Source organism: Homo sapiens, chromosome 17 (assembly GCF_000001405.40).
Source record: "Homo sapiens chromosome 17, GRCh38.p14 Primary Assembly".
Lineage (NCBI taxonomy): Eukaryota > Metazoa > Chordata > Mammalia > Primates > Hominidae > Homo > Homo sapiens.
In genome coordinates this window covers 35,744,491-35,766,917 of record NC_000017.11, presented here as the reverse complement: position 1 = coordinate 35,766,917, position 22,427 = coordinate 35,744,491, and the positions used below count along the sequence as shown (strand labels likewise).

At 53.4% G+C, this 22,427-nt stretch overlaps 3 protein-coding genes across 16 annotated transcripts in view, besides 3 other annotated features; 2 read left to right on the top strand and 1 right to left on the bottom strand.

Annotated features, from left to right (window-relative positions):
- Nucleotides 1-10,669, top strand: part of MMP28 (matrix metallopeptidase 28) — a 39,393-nt gene extending 28,724 nt beyond the window's left edge. For 9 of the 14 annotated variants that reach the window (XM_011525225.2, XM_011525232.3, NM_024302.5 and 6 more), the window contains one exon: nt 24-1,053. In XM_011525225.2, coding sequence (XP_011523527.1) covers nt 24-418 — 395 coding nt within the window. In that variant the 3' untranslated portion in view covers nt 419-1,053. Of the gene's footprint in view, nt 1-23; nt 1,054-10,498 lie in introns of those variants that run through there. The other 5 variants (XM_017025064.2, XM_011525231.2, NR_111988.2 and 2 more) reach the window with 4 other exon arrangements.
- Nucleotides 770-1,270: an enhancer, noted in NCBI's record as "H3K4me1 hESC enhancer chr17:34092667-34093167 (GRCh37/hg19 assembly coordinates)". NCBI's record gives its function as "activates a minimal SCP1, AML or CMV promoter by ChIP-STARR-seq in naive H9 embryonic stem cells {active_cell/tissue: H9 hESC(naive)}" and the evidence as "EXISTENCE:reporter gene assay evidence [ECO:0000049][PMID:30033119]".
- C17orf50 (chromosome 17 open reading frame 50) lies at nt 1,839-6,031 on the bottom strand. The gene is made up of 3 exons (NM_145272.4): nt 5,964-6,031; nt 2,593-2,911; nt 1,839-2,492 (listed from the first exon to the last, which is right to left on the bottom strand). Exons 1-3 carry the CDS (start codon nt 5,974-5,976, stop codon nt 2,300-2,302), a joined length of 525 nt encoding a protein of 174 aa, NP_660315.2. The 5' UTR covers nt 5,977-6,031; the 3' UTR covers nt 1,839-2,299.
- Nucleotides 2,367-2,746: a silencer, noted in NCBI's record as "silent region_8441". NCBI's record gives its function as "represses an Ori minimal core promoter by ATAC-STARR-seq in GM12878 lymphoblastoid cells {active_cell/tissue: GM12878}" and the evidence as "EXISTENCE:reporter gene assay evidence [ECO:0000049][PMID:35858748]".
- On the top strand, nt 13,679-22,407 carry GAS2L2 (growth arrest specific 2 like 2). The gene is made up of 6 exons (NM_139285.4): nt 13,679-14,452; nt 16,600-16,841; nt 17,701-17,808; nt 18,973-19,069; nt 19,650-19,902; nt 20,507-22,407. Exons 1-6 carry the CDS (start codon nt 14,068-14,070, stop codon nt 22,062-22,064), a joined length of 2,643 nt encoding a protein of 880 aa, NP_644814.1. The 5' UTR covers nt 13,679-14,067; the 3' UTR covers nt 22,065-22,407.
- Nucleotides 18,975-19,194: an enhancer, noted in NCBI's record as "active region_12079". NCBI's record gives its function as "activates an Ori minimal core promoter by ATAC-STARR-seq in GM12878 lymphoblastoid cells {active_cell/tissue: GM12878}" and the evidence as "EXISTENCE:reporter gene assay evidence [ECO:0000049][PMID:35858748]".

Below are 22,427 nucleotides of genomic sequence, written 5' to 3'. Positions count from 1 at the left end.
CTGGCTCTCCCAATTCCCCACAGGGGGTCGATGCTGGAGGTTCCGGGGCCCCAAGCCAGTGTGGGGTCTCCCACAGCTGTGCCGGGCAGGGGGCCTGCCCCGCCATCCTGACGCCGCCCTCTTCTTCCCTCCTCTGCGCCGCCTCATCCTCTTCAAGGGTGCCCGCTACTACGTGCTGGCCCGAGGGGGACTGCAAGTGGAGCCCTACTACCCCCGAAGTCTGCAGGACTGGGGAGGCATCCCTGAGGAGGTCAGCGGCGCCCTGCCGAGGCCCGATGGCTCCATCATCTTCTTCCGAGATGACCGCTACTGGCGCCTCGACCAGGCCAAACTGCAGGCAACCACCTCGGGCCGCTGGGCCACCGAGCTGCCCTGGATGGGCTGCTGGCATGCCAACTCGGGGAGCGCCCTGTTCTGAAGGCACCTCCTCACCTCAGAAACTGGTGGTGCTCTCAGGGCAAAATCATGTTCCCCACCCCCGGGGCAGAACCCCTCTTAGAAGCCTCTGAGTCCCTCTGCAGAAGACCGGGCAGCAAAGCCTCCATCTGGAAGTCTGTCTGCCTTTGTTCCTTGAAGAATGCAGCATTGTCTTTGTCTGTCCCCACCACATGGAGGTGGGGGTGGGATCAATCTTAGGAAAAGCAAAAAAGGGTCCCAGATCCCTTGGCCCTTTCCTCCGAGGACTTCTATCCTCCCCAGGCCTTTGTTTCTTCGGCTAAAGGTACAGTTCCTTTCAAGAGGTAACAGCACTGGGATCCAAGCAGGGGGATGAAAAACTCAGCAGAGAAATTCGAGACCATTTTGCAAGACTGTGCCCTTCTCCTCAGGACCCCCTGGCTCAGTTCTTGAAAAACGGTGTCATATTTAGTCAGAGGCCCCACCCCCAGGAAGCATGGATGGGGATGAAGGCACAGGCGTCTCCAACCTCAGAGGCCCTTTGTGGGGTCAGGACACAGAGTGGGAGGGAGACTGATGCAGGCCTACCAGTCCCTGGCTTTTTGTCTGGGGCTGGAATAAAGAGGTGCCTTCAGCTGGTGGGCCGAGAGGCAGGAAGCAGCCTTCCTTGGAGCAGTTCTTCCATCCTTTGCTGTGAGAGCAGGTGGGCATGGGTGCAGGGGAGGCCAGGGCCATGCTCTTCCATCCAAGCCAGGGCTAGGCAGCTGTGTGTGTGTGTGCAGAGCTGTGATGGAGAGAAGGGGCCTGCCTCTCCTCAAAAAGCAAAATGTCCTTGCAGCTCCAGGCCAGATGGAGAATGATGTGCAGCAGGGAGAGGTCAAGGGGCCTTCCTGGGGCTCTGCAACGCTGCAGGCGCTGGGGATGCAGCCTCCACAACAGGCAGCCCTGCAGGCTGAGGGTGGCCTTGTGCTCTCACAGTGGCCGCATTCTCCAGGCCACACACGAGGCATTCCCAAAGCTCCTGCTGTCTGGCCAAGAATAGCTGGGATTCCTGGAGAAGGAACCAGCTCCCCAGCCTCCCTGTCTTCTGCCTCCACCCATGCCAGCATTTATTTTAGCATCTGGTTTTCCAGGCTTCTCCCACCCCTCCACACCTGCTAGTGCCTCATATGCACAGCACTGACCTCAGCAAGCCAGGGCGTCTAGGGCAGGCGAGAATGGTCTGGCAAGGGTTCAGCCCTCACCTCCCCAGGGCCATTGTTGGCCCTGCCCGTTCATTTTCTCCTCTGCGCAGTGGGCAGAAGGGCCTTTGCCTTTGGATACAAATGTTTGTACCGTTCTGGGGTAGAGAGGGAAGAGGCTCCCTGCCCACACTTTTACCTCTGGCTTGAACCCCAGGAGGATCATCCCCACCCGGAGCCACCTGCGCCACCTCAAAGCACTGACACTTTGATCAGAGGTTTTATTGAATGGTTTCAGGGAAAGAGGCAGGTTTGTCAGAGGGATGAGGGAACCCTGAGGTTATTTTCTCTAGGCGATGCCTCTGCCCACTGGGCCAGAGCGGATCTGAAATACCCAAGAGGTGAAGGTGAGGCTGTGTGAGCGGACAGAGTCAGGTGTGCGGTGGCGCTGGTGCTGCGTGGGGGCGGGGAGCCCTCGGTGGGCGCTGTTGACAGCGGGCTCTAGGTTATGCTGGGCTCTGCACTGGGGGCGCTAGGTGACAGATGGGAACCAAGCACCAACAGTGGGCCTTCTTGACGGATGGGGGCGCTCTGGGCAGCAGCTGAGAAGGGGCGGTCCTGCGGAATGCGTCGAAGAGGGCTCCGCGCTCCAAGAGAGAAGGTCGGTAGGGGGTCTGGGGCCAGGAAATGATGGAGGGCACAAAGGCTGGGAGCGGGGGCGCTCAGGAGTTCCCAGCGGCCCCCGCCTTACCCAGATCCGGGTGATCCAGAACGCAGTGCGCCACATAGGCTGGGTGGCTGTGCAGACTCCTGCATTTCTTGCAGAAGAGGAGCTCGCAGCAAGCACAGCCCCCGCGGCGCGGCGGTCGTCGCCGGATCTCCAGCACGCACGGCTCCTCCGGGAGGCTCCGCTTCCTGCCGGCGGGGACCAGGCGCTCAGTGCCTGGGGCAGCCCCTCCTCCCTGGGGCCCGGGCACCGCCTCCCTCGTGCCCCGGTCGAGGAGCGCGCAGGCACCTGTCGGTGGGAGCTGTTAGGCCGCCCAGCAGCGCTAAGGGGCCGAGCCAGCCCCAGAAGCCGCTGTCCGCGCGCCGCAGCAGCGCCACCTGCTGGGTGCTGGACTCCTGGCGCAGCGGGCAGTAGGACACTGAGCGCCGCTCGCGGCCTTCGCCCTCCTCCGCTACCCGCGGCGGCTCCTCGCCCTCCGTCGCGCTGTCCTCCAGCGGCCTCTGGTTGTCCTCGTCCTCGTCCTCCGACCCCTCCTTCCCTTCCTCTTGCTCCGCGTCCTCGGCCCGGAGCTCTTCCGTTTCCTTCTTCCACAAGGGGGTCTTCACACCTGCGGGCCGGGAGGAGGTCAGGGCAGTCCTGCTGTCCCCGAGAAAGGGTCCAGAATAATTTTTCATGTATTTATTTATTTATTTATTTATTTATTTATTTATTTATTTTGAGACAGGGTCTCTCTCTGTAGCTCAGGCTAGAGTGCAGTGGCGTGATCTCTGCTCACTGCAACCTCCGCCTCACGGGCTCAAGCGATTCTTTTGCCTCAGCCTCCCAAGTAGCTGGGACTACAGGCACGCCCCGCTGCGCCCTGCTAATTTTTGTATTTTTAATAGAAACGGGGTTTCACCATGTTGGCCGGGCTGGTCTCAAACTCCTGACCTCAGGTGATTTGCCCTTTTCGGCCTCCCAAAGTGCTGAGATTACAGGCGTGAGTCACTGCACCCGGCCCTGGATACTTTTTCAAAAAAATTTTTTAAGTCCAGGCATGGTGGCTCACGCCTGTAATCTCAGCACTTTGGGAGGTCGAGGTCGGTGGATGGCTTGAGCTCAAGAGTTCGAGACCAGTGTGGGCAACAAGGTCAGACTCTTTTTATTTCGCTCCAAAAAAAAAAAAAAAAAAAAAAGCTGGGCATGGTGGTGTACACCTGTGGTCCCAGCTACTTGGGAGGCTGAGGTGAGAGGAAGCTGAGCTAGGGAAGTCGAGGCTATGGTGAGCCATGATTGCACCACCACACTCCAGCCTAGGTGACAGAGTGAGACCCCGTCTCCACAATTAAAAAAGATTTTTTTTTTTGAGACAGGGTCTCACTATGTTGTCCAGGCTGGTCTCTGAACTCCTGGCTTCAAGCAGCCCTCCTGCCTAGGTCTCCCTAAAGTGCTGGGATCACAGCCACGAGCCGCCTCCCCTGGCTTACTGATCCCATTTTTTTTTTTTTTTTTGGAGACGGAGTCTCGCTCTGTCGCCCAGGCTGGAGTGCAGTGGTGCCATCTCGGCTCACTGCAAGCTCCACCTGCCGGGTTCACGCCATTCTCCTGCCTCAGCCTCCCGAGTAACTGGGACTATAGGCGCCCGCCACCACGCCCAGCTAATTTTTTGTATTTTTAGTAGAGACCAGGTTTCACCATGTTTGCCAGGATGGTCTCGATCTGACCTCGTGATCTGCCCGCCTCGGCCTCCCAAAGTGCTAGGATTACAGACGTGAGCCACCGCGCCTGGCCACTGATCCCATTTTAATAGGTGGTTATTTACAGAATATTTTATTTTCTGAACGGGATTTCCTTCCTCCAAGTGGGCCTTGCCTTAAGGAAGCCCAGCATCTCCGCTGGTGGGGTGGGCAGGCGGGTGGGCTTACAGCACCTCTGTATGATTAGAAAAGGTGCCTTATAGTTAGGGAAATGGAAAAAGGACCCTCTATGGGCAGACCAATTGGGAAAAGGCTGTCCTTAGGGTGAGCCAATTAGGAAAAGACGCTTCCTCCTTCTTCCAGGCTTGACTTCAGCCACCACTGTCCCCTCTTGCTGGTGCCTTTGTTCAGGGCACAGTTACTACAACTACAAGCAGTAGCCCCAGCAGAAAGTTCCTGGGCTGACATGGAAACTAAGCTGGCCTCCCCTAGAAGGTGTCCGCCGCCCATTCAGCAAACATTCACCAGGCTTCATGCATCCTGTGTCTGTCACATCTGGATAGCTAGGTTTGTAAAGGAAAGAGGGGAGGAAGGCAGGGAAGACACAACTCGTGGAGTTTGCTATGGAAAAGTCAAGAAACATTTCTAGGCGGGGCACGGTGGCTCATGCCTGTAATCCCAGCACTTTGGGAGGCCGAAGCAGGCGGATCACCTGAGGTCGGGAGTTCGAGACCAGCCTGACCAACAAGGAGAAACCCCGTCTCTACTAAAAATACCAAATTAGCTGGGCGTGGCAGTGCATGCCTGTAATCCCAGCTATTCAGGAGGCTGAGGCAGGAGAATCGCTTGAACCCAGGGGTCGGAGGTTGTGGTTTACCGAGATCACGCCACTGCATTCCAGCCTGAGCAACAAGAGCAAAACTCCGTCTCAAAAAAAGAAAAAAAGAAAGAAAGAAAAAGAAACGTTTCTTTTGATCCCAGTCCATCCTATTTAAAGAGCAAAGGTACTGCTCATGATTGGTGTTCTAGCCTTCTGGTTGTAAAAGGCCAGGCCTAGTTCACAGCTAGAAAAGGGTTCCAGAGATGTTTCAAGAGGAAGGGGAGGAGGAAAAGGAGTTGAAAACAAAGGGTTGGACATTGAGTGCTGCGCTATGGAATCTGGACTTTGCCTCTCAGCAGTGAGGAGCCGCTGAACATTCTTGTAGAGGGACGTGTTCCAAGCTGTGTTTTAGGATGTTCCCTCTGACAAGACAGAGGGAGACCCCACTTAGGAGTCATTACAGTGGTCCAGGCCGGAGAAGACAAAGGTCTGAACAGGAGCAGGTGGAGATGATGAAGCAGATGTTAAGACTATTCTGGAGCCAGATGTGGTGGCTCACACCTGTAATCCCAGCACTTTGGGAGGCCAAGTCAGGAGAATCACTTGTGCCTGGGAGGTTGAGACTGCAGTGAGCTGTGACAACGCCACTGTACTCCAGCCTGGGTGACAGAGCAAGACTGTTTCTAAAAAAAAAAAAACAAAAAACAGGCCAGGCACAGTGGCTCATGCCTGTAATCCCAGGACTTTGGGAGGCCAAGGTGGGTGGATCACTTGAGGTCAGGAGTTCGCGACCAGCCTGGCCAACATAGTGAAACCCCATCTCTACTAAAAATACAAAATACAAAAATTAGCTGGGTGTTGTGGCATGCTCCTGTGGTCCCAGCTACTCGGGAGGCTGAGGAACGAGAATCACTTGAACCCGGGAGGCAGAGGCTGCAGTGAGCTGAGATCTCGCCACTGCACTCCAGTCTGGGTGATAGAGCAAGACTCTATCTCAAAAAAAAAAAAAAAAAAAAAATTCAGGAAGGCGAAAGGAGAGGGCTTGCAGCTACATGGATGGGTAACTGAGAAAAGGTTGGACTTCATGGTGATGGGCTGGATTGTCCAAGCTAGGGTCAAGAGGTCCTGTCCTCCAGCCCCACCCTGCCTCCAGCCCCACTCACCATGCTTATCCATTCTTCCCAAGGCTGTGCCCTGCTTTCCCTGATCAGAGACTGGGATGTGAGAGGGTGCCCAGAACCCATAGAACTTTGTCTCATGTCTAGGGCCTCTATTAGGTCACAAGGGGTGGGGCTAGAACCTCACCTGCCCATAAGGCTCTGCCCAGGAATAATTTCCTTTTCCAGAGCCTCCCAAAGCACTAACAACTCAGATGTCTCCTACCTTCCCTCTTAGGAAGGCATTAAAGGGGAAGAGAGGATGGCTTTGGCCCGCAATAAACTGGGTTCAAATCCCAGCTCTACCACATAAATATAAAAGTTATCTGATGTTCAGCATGGTATCTCTCTGACCCTCAGTCTCTTCATCTGTAAGTCAGAGATAGTAATACAGTACCACGCTTTACCTGGCCTATGGGAAGCACTGAAAGCACTGGGTTTGTTTGTATCATTATATTCTGTCTTCCTCTTCCTGTCTTATCCTTATCCTTCTTCACCCCATGCTCTCCACTTCTCCTATTTCCATTTCATTGCCAGTACCAAGGAACACAAGGGAATGGTGCCAAGTCCAGTAGGAAGTAGGACTCGGGTACCAGGCTGGTATAGCTCCTGGATATTGTGTATTTGTTGGGGGGCAGGGGTGAGGGAGGGAGTAAAATCAAGGAGCTTCAGGAAAATCCTTTCCTTTCCTGGACTCGAAGTGGAGTGTGTTGGCACAGAGAGGAATGTGTAGATGGACAATGGACAGATTCAGCTCTGGAAAGCCCTCCATCTGTTGAGATGAAGTTGCTGACCTCAAAGAGAGCCCAGTCTAATAGTGATCTGCGATCCTCCATCCAAGTCTGAGAGTGGAGGGCAATGGAGTCCCTTCCTTTGGGCATCTAAGTTTGGTGGAGGCAAGTTGATGGGCTGGAGAACAGAGAGCAGACCTGGCCCCCAGGAATCTCGTAGTCACAAGGGGGCAACCCTATCAAGAACTGTGAAGGATCTGAAATGTTATCCTATTTGCAAGCTACCATGTTAACTAGTTGTAGTTTCATGGGTGCTGCCAGAAAACATGAGGCTCCAAGTCAGAGACAAAGGACTTTATTACTCGTGGCACAGCAACTTTGGCCTGTTTGCCTCAGCTTCCCTTGCTTCGGTGTCCTATGAGTGACACAAATGAGTGCCAGTGGATACCGGTATATGCAGAGGTTTGCATTACTACAGAAATCCCAAGCTTAGGAAACCTGAATCTTTTTTGGGGGGGCGGTGGGGGGTAGCGGACAGAGTCTCACCGTCACCCAGGCTGGAGTGCAGTGGCGCAATCTCGGCTCACTGCAACCTCTGCCTCCCGGGTTCAAGCAATTCTCCTGCCTCAGCCTCCCAAGTGGCTGGGACTACAGGCGCGTGTCACCACACCTGGCTAATTTTTTGTATTTTTAGTAAAGATGGGGTTCCACTGTGTTAGCCAGGATGGTCTCGATCTCCTGACGTCGTAATCTGCCCGTCTCGGCCTCCCAAAGTGCTCAGATGACAGGCCTGAGCCACTGCGCCCAGCCAGGAAACCTGAATCTTTTATAATTGGTAGTGAGCAAACCTGCTGTTTGCTCAGAAAGGAGGCACTACGTCTATTTTCCAAGATTGCTCACTTATCCAAAAACCCTTGAAAAGTCAGGGCCTCTGCTTTCAAGACATGCATAAACACAAAAGGCTCAAGGAGAATTGTCTCCCAACAAGCTCATTCTCTTTAAACTTACTGAAAGCCACCATGGCTCTTGATTGCACACTCTGGTTGATTTAAAGAGAAAGAATAGTGAGACCTCACAGAATGACCAAAAGACTTGAGAACTGGATAGGAATCAAGGAAGGGTGGCGAATAAGAACACAGTCAAGATCGCATTACAGGAACAATTCAGTTTGGAGGCCACTGCTGGGGGTCACCCATGGACACTGGCACCATGAGCAATCTCACTGAGACACTCACTAAGATTTAATGCCCCTGGCAGGCACATCTAAACCAGTGAGCCTGTTCAAAGACCATCCCACCAAGACACCACAACAGAGTGTCCCCTGGCATGGTCATTCTTCTCATCCTGCCTCCCCAACCCTAATCTGCCTAGTAGCCCTTTGCCATCCATCCTTAGGATGTGCATCCCCTCTTCCCAAGGCTGTTTTGGGTTTTGTGGGACCTTCCTAAAAAGTCAGATTGTCAAACAACCCATGCTAGCATAAAAGCACACTAGAATTTATTTTATTATTTTATTTTATTTTATTTTATTTATTTTTTGAGATAGAGTCTTGCTTTGTTGCCCAGGATGGAGTACAGTGGTATGACCTAAGCTCACTGCAACCTCTGCCCCCCGGATTCAAGCAATTCTCCTGCCTCAATCTCCTGAGTAGCTGGGATTACAGGTGTGTGCCACCATGTCCGGCTAATTTTTGGATTCTTAGTAGAGACGGGGTTTCACCCTGTTGGCCAGGCTGGTCTTGAACTCCTGACCTCAAGTGATCTGCCTGCCTCGACTTCCCAAAGTGCTGGGACTACAGGTGTGAGCCACCATGCCCACCCAGCACACTAGAAATTGATCTCACAGAGGACTAGTATAGTCTTCATTGAAAACATGAGAGCAAGCAGGTAATCCCACTAACCCCAGGAACATATGTATGCCTCCTGCACTCAGACGTCTGCTTGGGAGACCTCTTGAGAGGGGTGAAACCATCCCGGTAATGAGTGAAAACTCAGAATTGACTGAATATCTCTCCAAAAGAGACTGTTTGAAACCAGAAGAGAATGGGCTATATTCTATTGGCAAGCTCAAGCATTATTTTCTGCTATTTATAGAAATAATACCTAAAAGACAAGACAAAGTCAGTTATCACAGGTAAAGCTACAATTTTTTCATATTAAACTTTAACTTTTGAAATTAATAGTATAAATAGCTCCTTAACTTCTAATAGGTATGACACAGAAATGCAATATTAGTTTTGCCTGGGCCATAAATATAACTTAAGAGAAAATAATATCTAAGCGGGGCACAGTGAGGGGAACCCATAGTCCTGGCAATTCAGGAGGCTGAGATGGGAAAATTGCTTGAGTCCAGGAGTTTGAAGCTGCAGTGCACAATAATTGCGCCTGTGAATAGCCACTGCACTCCAGCCTCGGCAACATAGCAAGACCCCCATCTCTAAAAAAAATTTTATTAAGAACAACAAAGAACAATAATCCAGTAAGATAGTATGTAAGTGCTACTTGATTGGGAATATTTGTAACAACATCTTACATTTGTATAGAGAAAAGGAATGGGGCCTCCTAAACTTAGAGCATCATGTCAATTAAGATGTAACTGGCTAGTCAAATCCATAATGCCTAACTAATAATAGCTCAAACTTTATACAATTTATTAATTTACTTAGTAAAGGGCTCCAGGATTGGTTCAGTGTCTTGATGGAGTTATTAAGGGCCCTGCTTATTCTCACCTTTCCTCTTTGCCTTCCTTGTCTCCTCTTGGTTACAAAATGGCTGCTGCAGCTCCAGGCATTGTGGCTTCATGCAACTATGACCAAAGCAGGAAGAAAAGGAATGGCAGAGACTTCTCAGAAGCTCTCCAACAGACTTCTCTTTGAATCTCATTGGCCAGAACTGGAGCACAAACCCATTCCTAAACCAACTTATGGCAAAAAGAGGGTTGTCAAGATTGTCCTAGACCAGTTGTAATTGGTACCTTTGATCAAGTGGGACTCATGGAGTATAGTTATAAAACAATTTCATTTTTGTCTCCTACAGTCTATTTTTTATTTTATTTATTTATTTATTTATTTATTTATTTTGAGACAGAGTCTCCCTCTGTCACCCAGGCTGGAATGCAGTGGCTAATTCTGCCTCCTCCCGAGTAGCTGGGATTACAGGCACCTGCCACCACACCCAGCTAGTTTTTGTATTTTTAGTAGAGACAGGATTTCACCATGTTGCCCAGGCTGTTCTCGAGCTCCTGACCTCAAGTGATCTGCCCGCCTTGGCTTCCTAAAGTGCTGGGATGACAAGCATGAGCCACTGTGTCCGGCCCAGTCTTTTTAAACATGCTCAAGGGAGGAAAATACTTCTTCCCTTGTCTCTGGAGAACAACTCAGACAGGCCCTATGACTTATTCTGAGTCCTCTTAGGAAATAGAAAAGCCACCATGCCCAGTGGAGAACATCTTAATAGAAAGATAGGCCGGGCGCAGTGGCTCACGCCTGTAATCCCAGCACTTTGGGAGGCCAAGGTGGGCAAATCACTTGAGCTCAGGAATTCGAGACCACCCTGGCCAACATGGTGAAACCCTGTCTCTACTAAAAATACAAAATTAGCCAGGCGTGACGGTGTACCTGTAATCTCAGCTACTCGGGAAGCTGAGGCAGGAGAATCACTTGAACCCGAGAAGCAGAGGTTGCAATGAGCCAAGATCATTCCTCTGCACTCCAGCCTGGGTGACAGAGCGAGACTCCGTCTCAAAAAAAAAAAAAAAAAAATGAAAGAGGAACTTGGTGCATTCCGTCCTCTCTGTTCTGCTTTACTGCAGCCTGAGGACAAAGTTCTGGGAGATCGGCATTGACTATGTAAGTAACAACAACGGCCTAAAGAAGCAACAAGAAAGGAACCGAGTGCCTGGAGAACTTCATGGAGCAGAGCCACTTGCCTACTTTGGATCATCTGTCTCTAAGAGAGGGAAATAAACATTTCTTTTGTGTGAGCCACTGTTTTCAGTGGCCTTTTTGTTATATGTAGCAGCTTAGCTTGGCCCTAACTAATAAAGGCAGACATGTGGCTGCCTCTATTGCAGAAGGGCTTTCTCTGTGTGATAGGAATGCATCCCCCAAATCTTCGCCATCTGATTGGGAAAAGAACCTGGCCCTATAGCTCCAATTTTAAAAGCCCAGGGAAGGGCTGTTTGGACTAGCTGAGTCCCATGCTTACCTCCTAGATTATTGGCTCTCAGTGGGGAGGGAGAGGATTTTGCCCCCCAGGGACATTGTCCCCCAGAAGACATTGCCAAATGTTAATGTCTGGAGACATTTTTGGTTGTTTTAATGGGGGCAGGGGGCCAGGTGTGGCGGCTCATGCCTGTAATCCTAGCATTTTGGCAGGCCAAGGTGGGTGGATTGCCTGAGCTCAGGAGTTTGAGACCAGCCTGGGCAACATGGTGAAACCCCATCTCTACTAAAATACAAAAAATTAGCCGGGCATGGTGGTGTGCACCTGTAATCCCAGCTACTCAGGAGTCTGGGGGAGGAGAATCGCTTGAACCCAGGAGGTGGAGGTTGCAGTGAGCCGAGATCATGCCATTGCACTCCAGCCTGGGCGACAGAGCGAGACTCTGTCTCAAAAAATAAAAAAATAAATAAAAAAATGGGGGCAGGGGTGCTGCTGGCTTTTGGTGGGTAGTGGCCAGGGATGCTGCTAGATGTCCTACAATGCCCAGGACAACCTCCACAGCAAAATAATTATCTGACCTAAGATGTTAATAGCGCCAAGGTCAAGGAACCCTGTTTTGGACCAATCCTATTAACTTTTCAAGGGTTAATATGGAATGTGACTACTTGTCATCAACTCCATAGGCACCACTTGGTTTAAGATACCCTTGCTCTGCCCTGGATGACTGCAGTAGCCTAACTGTCCCCCTGACTCTGTCCTTGCCCCTGCAGTTCTTCTTCGCACAGCAGCCTGAATTAGAGCATGTCCCTACTCTTCTCAATCTCCTGACTTCGTGATCCGCCCATCTTGGCCTCCCAAAGTGTTGGGATTACAGGCGTAAGCCACCGCGCCCGGCCACCCCTACCCTTCTCAAAACACTCTAGGGCACTTCTCATTTCACTCAGAGAAAAAGCCAGACTCTTCAGAGTCACCTACAAGGCCCTGCATGATCTAGGACCTCATTTCCTAGATTCTTATCCTACATACCCTACCTCTCTTAGGGATTCTTCTTCTTTTCTTCTCCTTTTACTTTTTCTCCTTCTCCTTCTTCTTCTTCGACAGGATCTCACTCTGTTGTGGTGCAGTCATAGCTCACTACAACTTCAACCTCCTGGGCTCAAGTAATCCTCCTGCCTCGCCTCGCATGTAGCTGGGACCACAGGTGTGTGCCAACCACACCTGGCTAACTTTTAAAAAAAGTTTTTGTAGAGATGGGGGTCTCAGAGCTTTTGCACTGGCTGTCCCTCTGCCTGAGCACTCATCCCCCAGACAGCTGCAGAGCACGCTTCCGATCTTCTTTCAGGTCTTTGCTCAATTATCACCTTATCCCTGAGGCCTTTAACCATCTTATAGAAAATTCCACACATACCCTCGCCTCCTTTATTCCTTTATTTGTCTCCCTGGAATGGATCACCATCTGACTATTTATTTATTTATTTATTTATTTATTTATTTATTTATTTATTTTTGAGATGGAGTCTTTGTCGCCCAGGCTGGTGTGCAGTGGCACGATCTCGGCTCACTGCAACCTCCGCCTCTCAGGTTCAAGTGATTCTCCTGCCTCAGCCTCCCAAGTAGCTGGGATTACAGGCGCCCACCACCACGCCTGGCTAATTTTTGTATTAGTAGAGAAGGGGTTTCGCCATGTTGGCCAGGCTGGTCTCCAACTCCTGGGCTCAAGCGATCCACCCACCTCAGCCTCCCAAAGTGTTGGAACTACAGGCATGAGCCACCACACCCAGCCTTAGATTTATTTGTCTATCTGTCATTCACCACTCGGTAACATGGAAGTAGCCCCCATAAGGTCAGGGACCTGGTCTTTTTTGTTTACTGCTGTATCCTCAGGCCTGCAGTTGTGCCTGGCACATAGTCGGTGCTCAAGACTTTTTTCTTTTTTAAGACAGGGTCTTGTTGTGTTGCCCAGGCTGGAGTGTAGTGGTGCAATCATGGCTCAGTACAGCCTCGATCTCCTGAGTAGCTGGGATTATAGGTGCGTGCCACCATGCTTGGCTAATTTTTGTATTATTTCTGTAGAGACAGGGTTTCATCATGTTGCCCAGGCTGGTCTCCAACTCCTGGCCTGAAGTGATCCATCCTCCTGCCTTGGCCTTCCAAAGTGCTGGGATTACAGGCAGCACTTACACCGTGACCAACCAAGAAATGTTGGTTGAATGAATGCATTGCTGTGGCCATGGGGGTGGTAGGGTGTTATGACCCACAGCCTGCTGTAGCGCAATCACATGGTTAGTGTGGGGGGTGGGGCAGGTTCTTCAGAGAAAGTGGGGATCATGGTGCTAACAGAGCTGCCGGGAGAACTGGGACCCACTCAGACCTGTGCCTGCCTGTGAGTTCTGATGGTCTGATACTTTCACATACATTATTTCTTTATCCCTCACAACACACCAAAAAGGTAAACATTATTACCCCCATTTTACAGTTGAGAAACTAAGGCACAGAGAGGCTAGGTAGTATATGATGGTCACACAGGATTTAAGGCTACACTTATGAGTTTTGGGCCCTATTTCTATGTCTGTTTCATTCCCATTCTCCTGTACTCACTAAACACCAAGGGGTATGGCAACCCCTACCCCTGCTTTCCCTCCACTCCCCCAAAGTTCCCATTTGGCCAGCCCCGTGAGAGAAGCCAGCCCCAGCCCCAACCTCTCCTCCCTCTCCCTTGGTTCTGCAGGGCAGTCCTCGCCTGCTGGGAAGGGTTAACAAGGAGTGTTTGTAGCAGCCGCTGTCTCCAAGGAGAGGGGAGGAAAGCAGAGTGGGGAGGCCGGCAGCCACCCCAGGCTCTGTGGCCGCAGCCAGCAGAGGGTAGGAGGCAGCCAGCTTGATCTCTCCAGCTCTGGGGAAAGAGAGGAGTGTCCTCACTTCCATCTGGCCTCAGAGGGGTGAACTCCAAGTGGACTGGGCAGCCTGAGAGCAAGGTTGCTGCAGGGCCACCAGGGAAAGCTCTGGCAAGGACTGAGGAATGTGGGGGGGCAGGGGCTGGGCCAGGCCTGGCAGCTGAAGCCAGTGGCAAGTAGCAGCACTGGAGGTCCCGGGCTCTCAGCGAGTACACGGGAACCTCAGAATCAGGAAGAACCCAGCCGAGACCCAGCAGCAGCGGGAGGAAAGAGGCGGCAGTGGGAGAGGGGAGGTGCCCACCTCCTGCCCTGCTGGGGTCCAGCCATGTCCCAGCCTGCGGGAGGCAGGAGGAAGCCCAGGACCCTAGGGCCGCCTGTGTGCAGTATCCGGCCTTTCAAGTCGAGTGAGCAGTACCTGGAGGCCATGAAGGAAGACCTGGCTGAGTGGCTTCGCGACCTCTATGGGCTGGACATCGACGCAGCCAACTTCCTGCAGGTGCTGGAAACGGGCCTGGTGCTGTGCCAACACGCCAACGTTGTCACTGACGCTGCCCTGGCCTTCCTGGCTGAGGCACCTGCCCAAGCCCAGAAGATTCCCATGCCCCGGGTCGGGGTCTCCTGCAATGGGGCCGCCCAGCCAGGTACCTTCCAGGCCAGGGACAATGTCTCTAACTTCATCCAGTGGTGTCGAAAGGAGATGGGCATCCAAGGTAACCACGCTGCACCCTCGTCCCCATTCCAGATGCTTATCTTGGGGGGTATTGGTCCTTTCTCAAATGCACAGGCTAGCTCTGGGGGGCAGGAGCCTGGATCCTCATTCTAGATTTGCCTTGAACCAGCTCTTTTTTCATGCCTCAGTTTCCCCACCTCATAGTAAATCCTCAATAAATAAATATATTGATGATTGATAAATGTTTGTTGATGATTACTTCAATAAGCATATATCAAGCACCTCTTCTGTGCTGAGCACTTTGCTGGGCACCAAGGAAAGAGAGGAAAGAGACCCAGCGCCCAACAAATTCATGGTCTAGCAAGAGAGGCAGAAGGCTGGGTGTGGTGGCTCATGCCTGTAATCCCAACACTTTGGGAGGCTGAGGCCGGTGGATCACCTGAGGTCAGGAGTTCAAGACCAGCCCGGCCTAACATAGCAAAACCCTGTCTCTACTAAAAATACAAAAATTAGCTGGGCATAGTGGCAGGCTGAGATAGGAGAATTGCCTGAACCCAGGAGGCAGAGGTTGCAGTGAGCTGAGATGGCGCCACTGCACTCCAACCTGGGTGACAGAGTGAGAGTCTGTCTCAAAAAAAAAAAAAAAAAAAAAAAAAAGAGAGAGAGAGAGAGGTAGAGGGATAGATACATAAATTATAGCCTACTGTGGCAAAGGCTTGACCTAGAGGTGTAATGCTGGGAGCCAGGGGAGGAAATAGCAGCCTGATTAGGTGGAATGGGGCCGAGAAAGTTTGCATCATAAAGGAAGGAGATTTGGCCTGAGTCTTTTTTTTTTTTTGAAACTGAGTCTAGATCTGTCACCCAGGCTGGAGTACAGTGGTTCGATCTTGGCTCACTGCAACCTTCACCTCCCGGGTTCAAGCAATTATATGTGCCTCATCTCCTGAGTAGCTGGGATTACAGGCGCCCGCCACCACGCCTGGCTAATTTTTGTATTTTTAGTAGAAATGGGGTTTCACCATGTTGGCCAGGCTGGTCTCGAACTCCTGACCTAAAGTGATCCGCCCGCCTTAGCCTCCCAAACTGCCGAGATTGCAGGTGTGAGCCACCACACCCAGCTGGGCTGAGTCTTGAGGGATAAATAGAAGTTTATGGGAAGGGAATTCTAAGCAGGGGGGATGACAGGGGCAAAGGCGCAGAAAAAGCATGGTGTGTGAATGACTAGGGAGAGGCTGGTGGTGAGGGCACAGGGCTAGGATGAGGAGAGAACATGGGAGGAGACAGATGGGATGACGCCAGGGAGGGGCTCCATCATGCTGGGGCTTGTAGGGCTCAGGGAGTGACATGTCAGGATCCTTCATCTCATTGGCCTTGAAACCAGGAATGGGATGAGACTGGATGTTGTGCCATTCTCCAGGCCAAAGGTGGCAGGGGTGAGACTGGGGAAAGGGTCAGGCCTGGGCTACTGGCTGGTGGCTGGGCACTGAGGAACAGAATTGGAAGGTTAATAGAAGCTAGTGCTTTAAGGAATGCTTGCATGTGCCGGACATTGTGAATGGTTAGCAACTATGAGCATATCCAATCTTCACAACAACCCCACGAAGTAGACTACATCCCCATTTTACAGAAGAGGAAACTGAGGCTCAGGGTCTAGCTCAAGGTCATGCGGCTGGTAATAAGTCAGGACTCCAGACTTAGTGGTTGGCTCCAGAGCATGTCCTCAGCATGCCTGGTTGGGCCTGGGTGGGAGCTGAGTTTGAGATGCCTGGTGGAGATAGGAGGAGAGAGGCGTGGGTGGAAAGTGGAACAAACCGCTTCCTGCTCCTGGACCCATCCAGGCAAGCTGAGTGGGGAGAGGGGAAGGTGGAGTTCATCCTTCTCTCATCCACAGTCACAGTCACAGCCAGTCTCCAGGTCCCTTTGCTTTGCTGTCACCTCTTCTCACCCGCAGCCTCTCCTGTGAGATGGGCCGCGTGTCTGTACCCAGCACCTGAGCAATTCCGCCCAGACCCCTCCTAGGGGGCTGACTTGACCCCAAGATTCTGAGACCCAAACCACTCCCCATGTCTGCTGCCCCAGACCGGGGATGACCCCAGTGCTTTCCTCCCCGCTAGCCCCTGCCCCGGAGGCTCAGGTCCTCTGGGGGCTCACGCTGCCTCTGCCCTTTTCTCCCCGCCTCCACTCCAGAGGTGCTGATGTTCGAGACGGAGGACTTGGTGCTGCGCAAGAACGTGAAGAACGTGGTGCTGTGTTTGCTGGAGCTGGGCCGCCGGGCGTGGCGCTTTGGTGTTGCGGCGCCCACACTCGTGCAGCTGGAGGAGGAGATCGAGGAGGAGGTGCGGCGGGAGCTGGCCCTGCCCCCGCCCGACCCCTCGCCGCCAGCGCCCCCCAGGCGCCAGCCCTGCCACTTCCGCAACCTGGACCAGATGGTGAGGGGCTCTGCACACGCCCTCAGGGCCCCCTTCCCTTTGTCCTTCGTGCTCCTCTCCCCAGTCCCACTCCAGCCCCCACTAACCCACCCCCTTCTTGAGCTCCATTGTCCACCCTGACCCGAATTCACTGTGTGGCTTTAAGGCACGGTTCCACTCTGAGCCTCAACCCTAACCACGCGTAGTAATTAATGGCCATGTCATTTCTCAGGCGTTCTTACCAACCCAGCACTGGATGCCCCTCTCATTTAACCCCTGCTGGGACAGTTTTCAAGAACACCGACTGTGGCACTCTCCGAGACACCTTGGTTCAAGTCTTAGTTCCACTGCTTTGCAGCTGTGTGACTTTGGGCAAATTATTTAACCTCTCTGTGTCTGGCTTCCCTTATCTGCAGCATGGGGACAGTAACAGCACCTACCTTCTATGAATGCTGTAATCAGTAAATGAGCCAGCACATACAAAGTGTTTGGAACAGGGTCTGCACAGAGGGCCACTTCACAGCAATTAGTTCTGTGTGGTTAACCCCTGGGGAAAATGGAGCTCAGGCAGTTTTCTTAATGAAAAGCCTATGATGCAGTGGATACAGGGCACTGACCTGAGCCTGTCAGATCCCACAGTCCCCCCGTGGCACTCTGCCGCTTCCATCAGCTCTGGACCTCATGGTAGGTAGGTCCATGGGTGACCACCCAGGTCTCGTTCTCGCTGGGTCATTTACAGCCTTATCTACTCCCTCCTTGCTTCTCATTCCCCAGCTCTGACCTCAGCAGAAACCTCAGGGGTGACCTGGGGGGCAGGTAGGCCCCCCATTTTGACCCAGAGTGGGCAAAGGAGAGGGCTGAGTTCACCACCCGCCCGCAGGTGCAGAGCCTTGTGAGCCACTGCACGTGCCCAGTGCAGTTCTCCATGGTCAAAGTGTCTGAGGGGAAGTACCGTGTGGGTGACTCCAACACCCTCATCTTCATCCGGGTAAGTCCAGGCTGGGGGTCAAGGGACCCCCAGAATAGGGTTTCTTGCCCAGGCTTGGGACAATGACACTAAGTCTCCCAGAATATGGGACCTTGCCCAGGCTTGGAACAATGACACCTCCCAGAATATGGGACTTTGTCCAGGCTTGAGGACAATGACAGTAAGTCATCATTCACCCCAAGCCATCAGGCCTTGGAGCTCTCCTTCTCACCCTGGGAGAATTCCAGGAGATTCCTGGCAAAGGTGGCAAGCCTATCTCCTCCTCCCATCAGGGCAGCCAGAGCCACCACCCTCCCTCTCCTCCACTGTAGCCTAATCTAGAGCATGTTCTCAGGCAGAGTGGGGTATGGAGAAGGGTGATCACACTTTTCCATTCCACTCCACCCACAGACTTGATTAGAGGAAGCAGCTTGAGAACCCCAAGTTTGGTTTCAGTGCACGGCCCCAGCCACATGGACCCCATAGTTCCACCCCTACCACTTGCCTGGGGGTACATTCAGCAGAGTGAGTAGCAGCACAGGTCTGAAAATGTGCCTCCTACCCCAATACCTGGCTGTGCCTCACCAGAAACGGTCTGTACCCACATGAGCGGCCAGCAGCTCGGGGCATGGCCCAGCCATTTCCTTGGGCACAGGCCAAACCTGGGAGCAGAGCCAGCTCTCTGGGCCCTCCCCTAGACCTGAGGCAGTAGCCCTGTGATGCAGATAGGGGCAAGAACCTGTGGCCCCACTTCCCAACACAGGAAGCTGAAGCTTGAAGAGACATGTGACTTGCCTGAGGGTGGAGTGGGACCAGGACTCCCATGGGCTCTCCACACAGGCCACAGGGGCAAAGCCAGTGGCATTAGGGCCCTGTTTTGGGTACAGGCATGTACAGATGCAAAACCGTTTACAGCAAAAGGAGCGCTCTGGGGGCAGGCTTTGGGATCCCTTGACCAGTTGTGGGACAGCTTTCAGCCTGGCTCCCACCTTGACCGCATGTGTTATCTGATGCCAGTCATGGAGGAGGAGATTCGGGCTGCCTTTTTACAGCACACACATACATCTACGTGTGGATGGGTACATGGATGAGAGCATCCCTGAGTGAGTGCCGGAAGCCCGCGAGCTGGTCCAGGAAGAGGGGCTGCCCTCCACCCCGCCCTTAACCTCACCCTTGCCCCCTCAGATCCTCCGGAACCATGTGATGGTACGTGTAGGGGGCGGCTGGGACACACTGGGCCATTACCTGGACAAACATGACCCCTGCCGCTGCACATCCCTCTGTGAGTCCCCTGAGGGCCCTCTCCCTGTGGGGTTGGTTGAAGAGGCCTAGCTCTGGGTTGGGAGGCTGGAGGCAGAGGTGGGAGGTATGTCTGATCTCCAGGAGGGGAGCGGTAGGTGGGGAGGTGTGGGGGAGGCTGGAGGAAGGCAGGCAGTAGTTGGGCACAGTACAGTACTAAATGTCGCCACAAGATGGCGGGCAACACACGCAGAAGCAGCATTTGGCCACGGTGCATTTTAGCAGAGCTTAGGTCTGGCTCTGGGATCCACAGTGTTGGCACCAAGTGTGACTTGGAGGGTCTTTAATTCTTCCATAATCTCCATCAACGCCTCCAGCCACTCCAAATAAGCACATGCTCTAAGGGAAAGTTGTGTACCCGCACTAAAAACATAGCTTTAAATAAATCCCCCAGCTGGGTCCCCTAAGCCCCTCCCGTAAAGAAACTCCGGTGTTGCCACTGTAGGTCCCACTGTTTTTAATGTGGGATGCGGGGCATGGGACCACTGGGGGAGGAACAATGGTCCCCATTGGCAGGAACTGAACCCTTCTCTCCTCTCCTTTCTCCGGGGGACTGTTGGTAGCACACAAGCCAGGCAGCTTCCTGAAGCCCCCGGCCCCACCAGTGCAGCATGAAGTAAGGGTACAGGATGGACCCTCACAGACCCAGCCTACAATGACCATCAGCCGCTCACAGAGCCCACCACCCCCTGTGGACTGGAAGACATATACCTCTTCAGACCGAAGGCTGAGGCCCCCCACCCCATCCTCCCCCAGACCCCGCAGGGAACGGGGAGCAGGGACGGGGGCCTCCAGAGAGATGGCACCATTCCTGAGGTATGGGGAAGAGACAGGGATGGGGCTCTTTTTCCTTTGGAGTGCACATTCTCAGAGGTCACCACACTCCAAGATAAAAGGAGCAGATCCTCGGCAGTGCCTCTACCCCGAGACCACAGGTTTTGGAACCAGAAGCATACCCAGTACCTTTGGGATAATGTGGTTACTTCATATGCCTTCCCATTTCACAGATGAGGAGGCTGAAGCTCAGAAATGGAACAGACTTACTGAAGGTTTCCTACCATTTCATGGTAGAGCAGAGACTAAGACAGAGACTGTGCATTCCCCTCTGTCTCTCCACTGCCCTGCAACTGGTCTGAGGCCATCCCTCGAAGGATCTGAAGTCACCTCAGGCCAGGATCAGGCTTCCTTCTATCTGCTACACAGGGAACAAGGGCGAATAGACTTAGGCAGTGACTGCCATAAGGAGGATTTCTGGGCAGTCACGGAGGAGAGGGAGCATAGGTTTCATTCAGCGTGAAGTCTAGCCTCCTGGGTGTTCTCACTGGGGAAAGACTGTCACTTCCCAAAGCCAGGGACCACACTAGATGACCCTGCCGGCCTGATGAGTCTCCCTTTGCAGCCTTGTGATTCTCCCTTTCAGGTGCCAGGAGAGGTCTCTCATCCCATCTTGGAGGCAGCCGACAGCTGGGGACAGCCCACCCAGCCCCCAGTCCTCATCTACCCAAAAAGGCCGAGACCCACAGTGTACCTCGTCAGGAAAGAGGGAGGAGAGATACCCCCCTGAACTCCCCAGGGGAAGGATTCCCACATCTTGGGTTCATGAAGAAACAGACAGCTGGGGAACCGACGCCGGGAACCCCACCCCACAAAGACTCCGAGCCATTGAGGCCACCACCAAAGGGATATCAGCAAGAGGACCATCTCCCCTGCCTCGTTCCTTTGGCCCAGCCGAGTGCCTGGGCCTCAGGCTGCCACTCCGGGATGAGGCCAAGGGTGCGTTCTTCCAGTTCAGGGAGCCAGAGTCTGTCCGTTCTCCAACCCCTGTCCAAGGCCTAACCAAGATCCCCATCCGGCTGCCCCCTGCTCGCCCCCCAACACCAGGAAGGAGCTTTCCTGGTGCTACAAGTGGAAGTCCCAGGACAGAACTTGGGAGAGACCCCATCCCACTAAGGGCCGTCACTGTGGACCTGGCTGGGTCCACGCATGGGGACTGCTCTGTGGAAGTGAGGCAGGAGGACCAGCAGCTGGACATCCAGGTCATGGCAGAGGCCAGAGAGTCCTGGGACCTGGGCCTACAGGAGCAGGAGGGGCGGTACACACCTCTGCCCTTGGGCGGGAACAAGGAGCAAGCCATCTACTGTAGCCTTGAAGAGGAGATTTTGGGCAACATGAAGCTGCTAGAAGTCAGGAGTGCCTGTCCGCAGGGCACAAGGTCTGGGGTCATCCCTCGCAGTGGGGTCTACATCCCCAGGCTGGCTGGGCAGTGGCCTGAGCCTGGGGGTCCTTATGACAAAGCCATCCAAGAACTGGCTCAGGGGTCCCCATCCCTCCTTAAAGTGGACCTGGAAGCCTGGAAGGCAGCCCCGACTGGCTCCCCTAAGCCAGCTGTTACCCCAGGACCGGGAAGCCTCAAAGGGAAGTTGGGAGCCAGACAGAGTGGGCCCAGGACAAAGGCAAGCCTGAGTGCCAAGGGCACCCACATGAGGAAGGTCCCACCTCAGGGAGGGCAGGACTGCTCGGCTTCTACTGTGTCTGCCAGCCCGGAGGCCCCCACACCTTCGCCCTTGGACCCCAACTCTGACAAAGCCAAGGCATGTCTGAGCAAGGGCAGGAGAACTCTCCGGAAGCCCAAGAGGGTCCCGTCCATCTACAAGCTGAAGCTGAGACCCAGGATTCGGCCCCGGAGAGACCACAGGCCTGAGAAGCAGCCTTCACGAATCCCCAGGCCACTGGCCTATGTCTTCCTGGGTCCAGCCAGGCAGCCCCCCAAGGACAGGCTGTTGAGAGCTGTGCTGGGCAGCAAGGGAGGGGAGGCATCCCGGGTGGATGGAGCTTCAGTAGGTGAGGAGGAGGAGGAAGGAAAGGAGGAGAAAGAGCCAGCCGCTCCATTGGAGAGCAGCCCCCAACCTCCAGAGGGCCTGCAACCTCACTGGCTTAATCAAGCTCCACTTCCACCTGAGGAGGAGTCCTGGGTCTGAGGCACATGAGCGTGTTGGGTAGGAGGGAAGCAAAAAGGATGGCCATGTATACACTGGATTCACAGCTGCGGGAACAGAAGGGATGTTCCCTCACCTCCACACAGGGCCTTGGGCAGGAGTGGGTCAGAAGACAAATATAGACTCCATCTGCTCATCTGAGCAAAGGGGCAACCCACTGCTCTCACTCCAACTCCAGAGGTAGGCCAGGGGCAGTAGGACCATCCTGTATCTCATTACTCTCCCCTAGAACGGCTCACCACACTCCTGGCCTCTGGCCCCTGGCCATGCCCACCTGTTTCCATAACTCCCATAAGTTATTAAATGCATGTGATTCTGCCCTTGAGCCCCCAGCTTCTTTTTTCA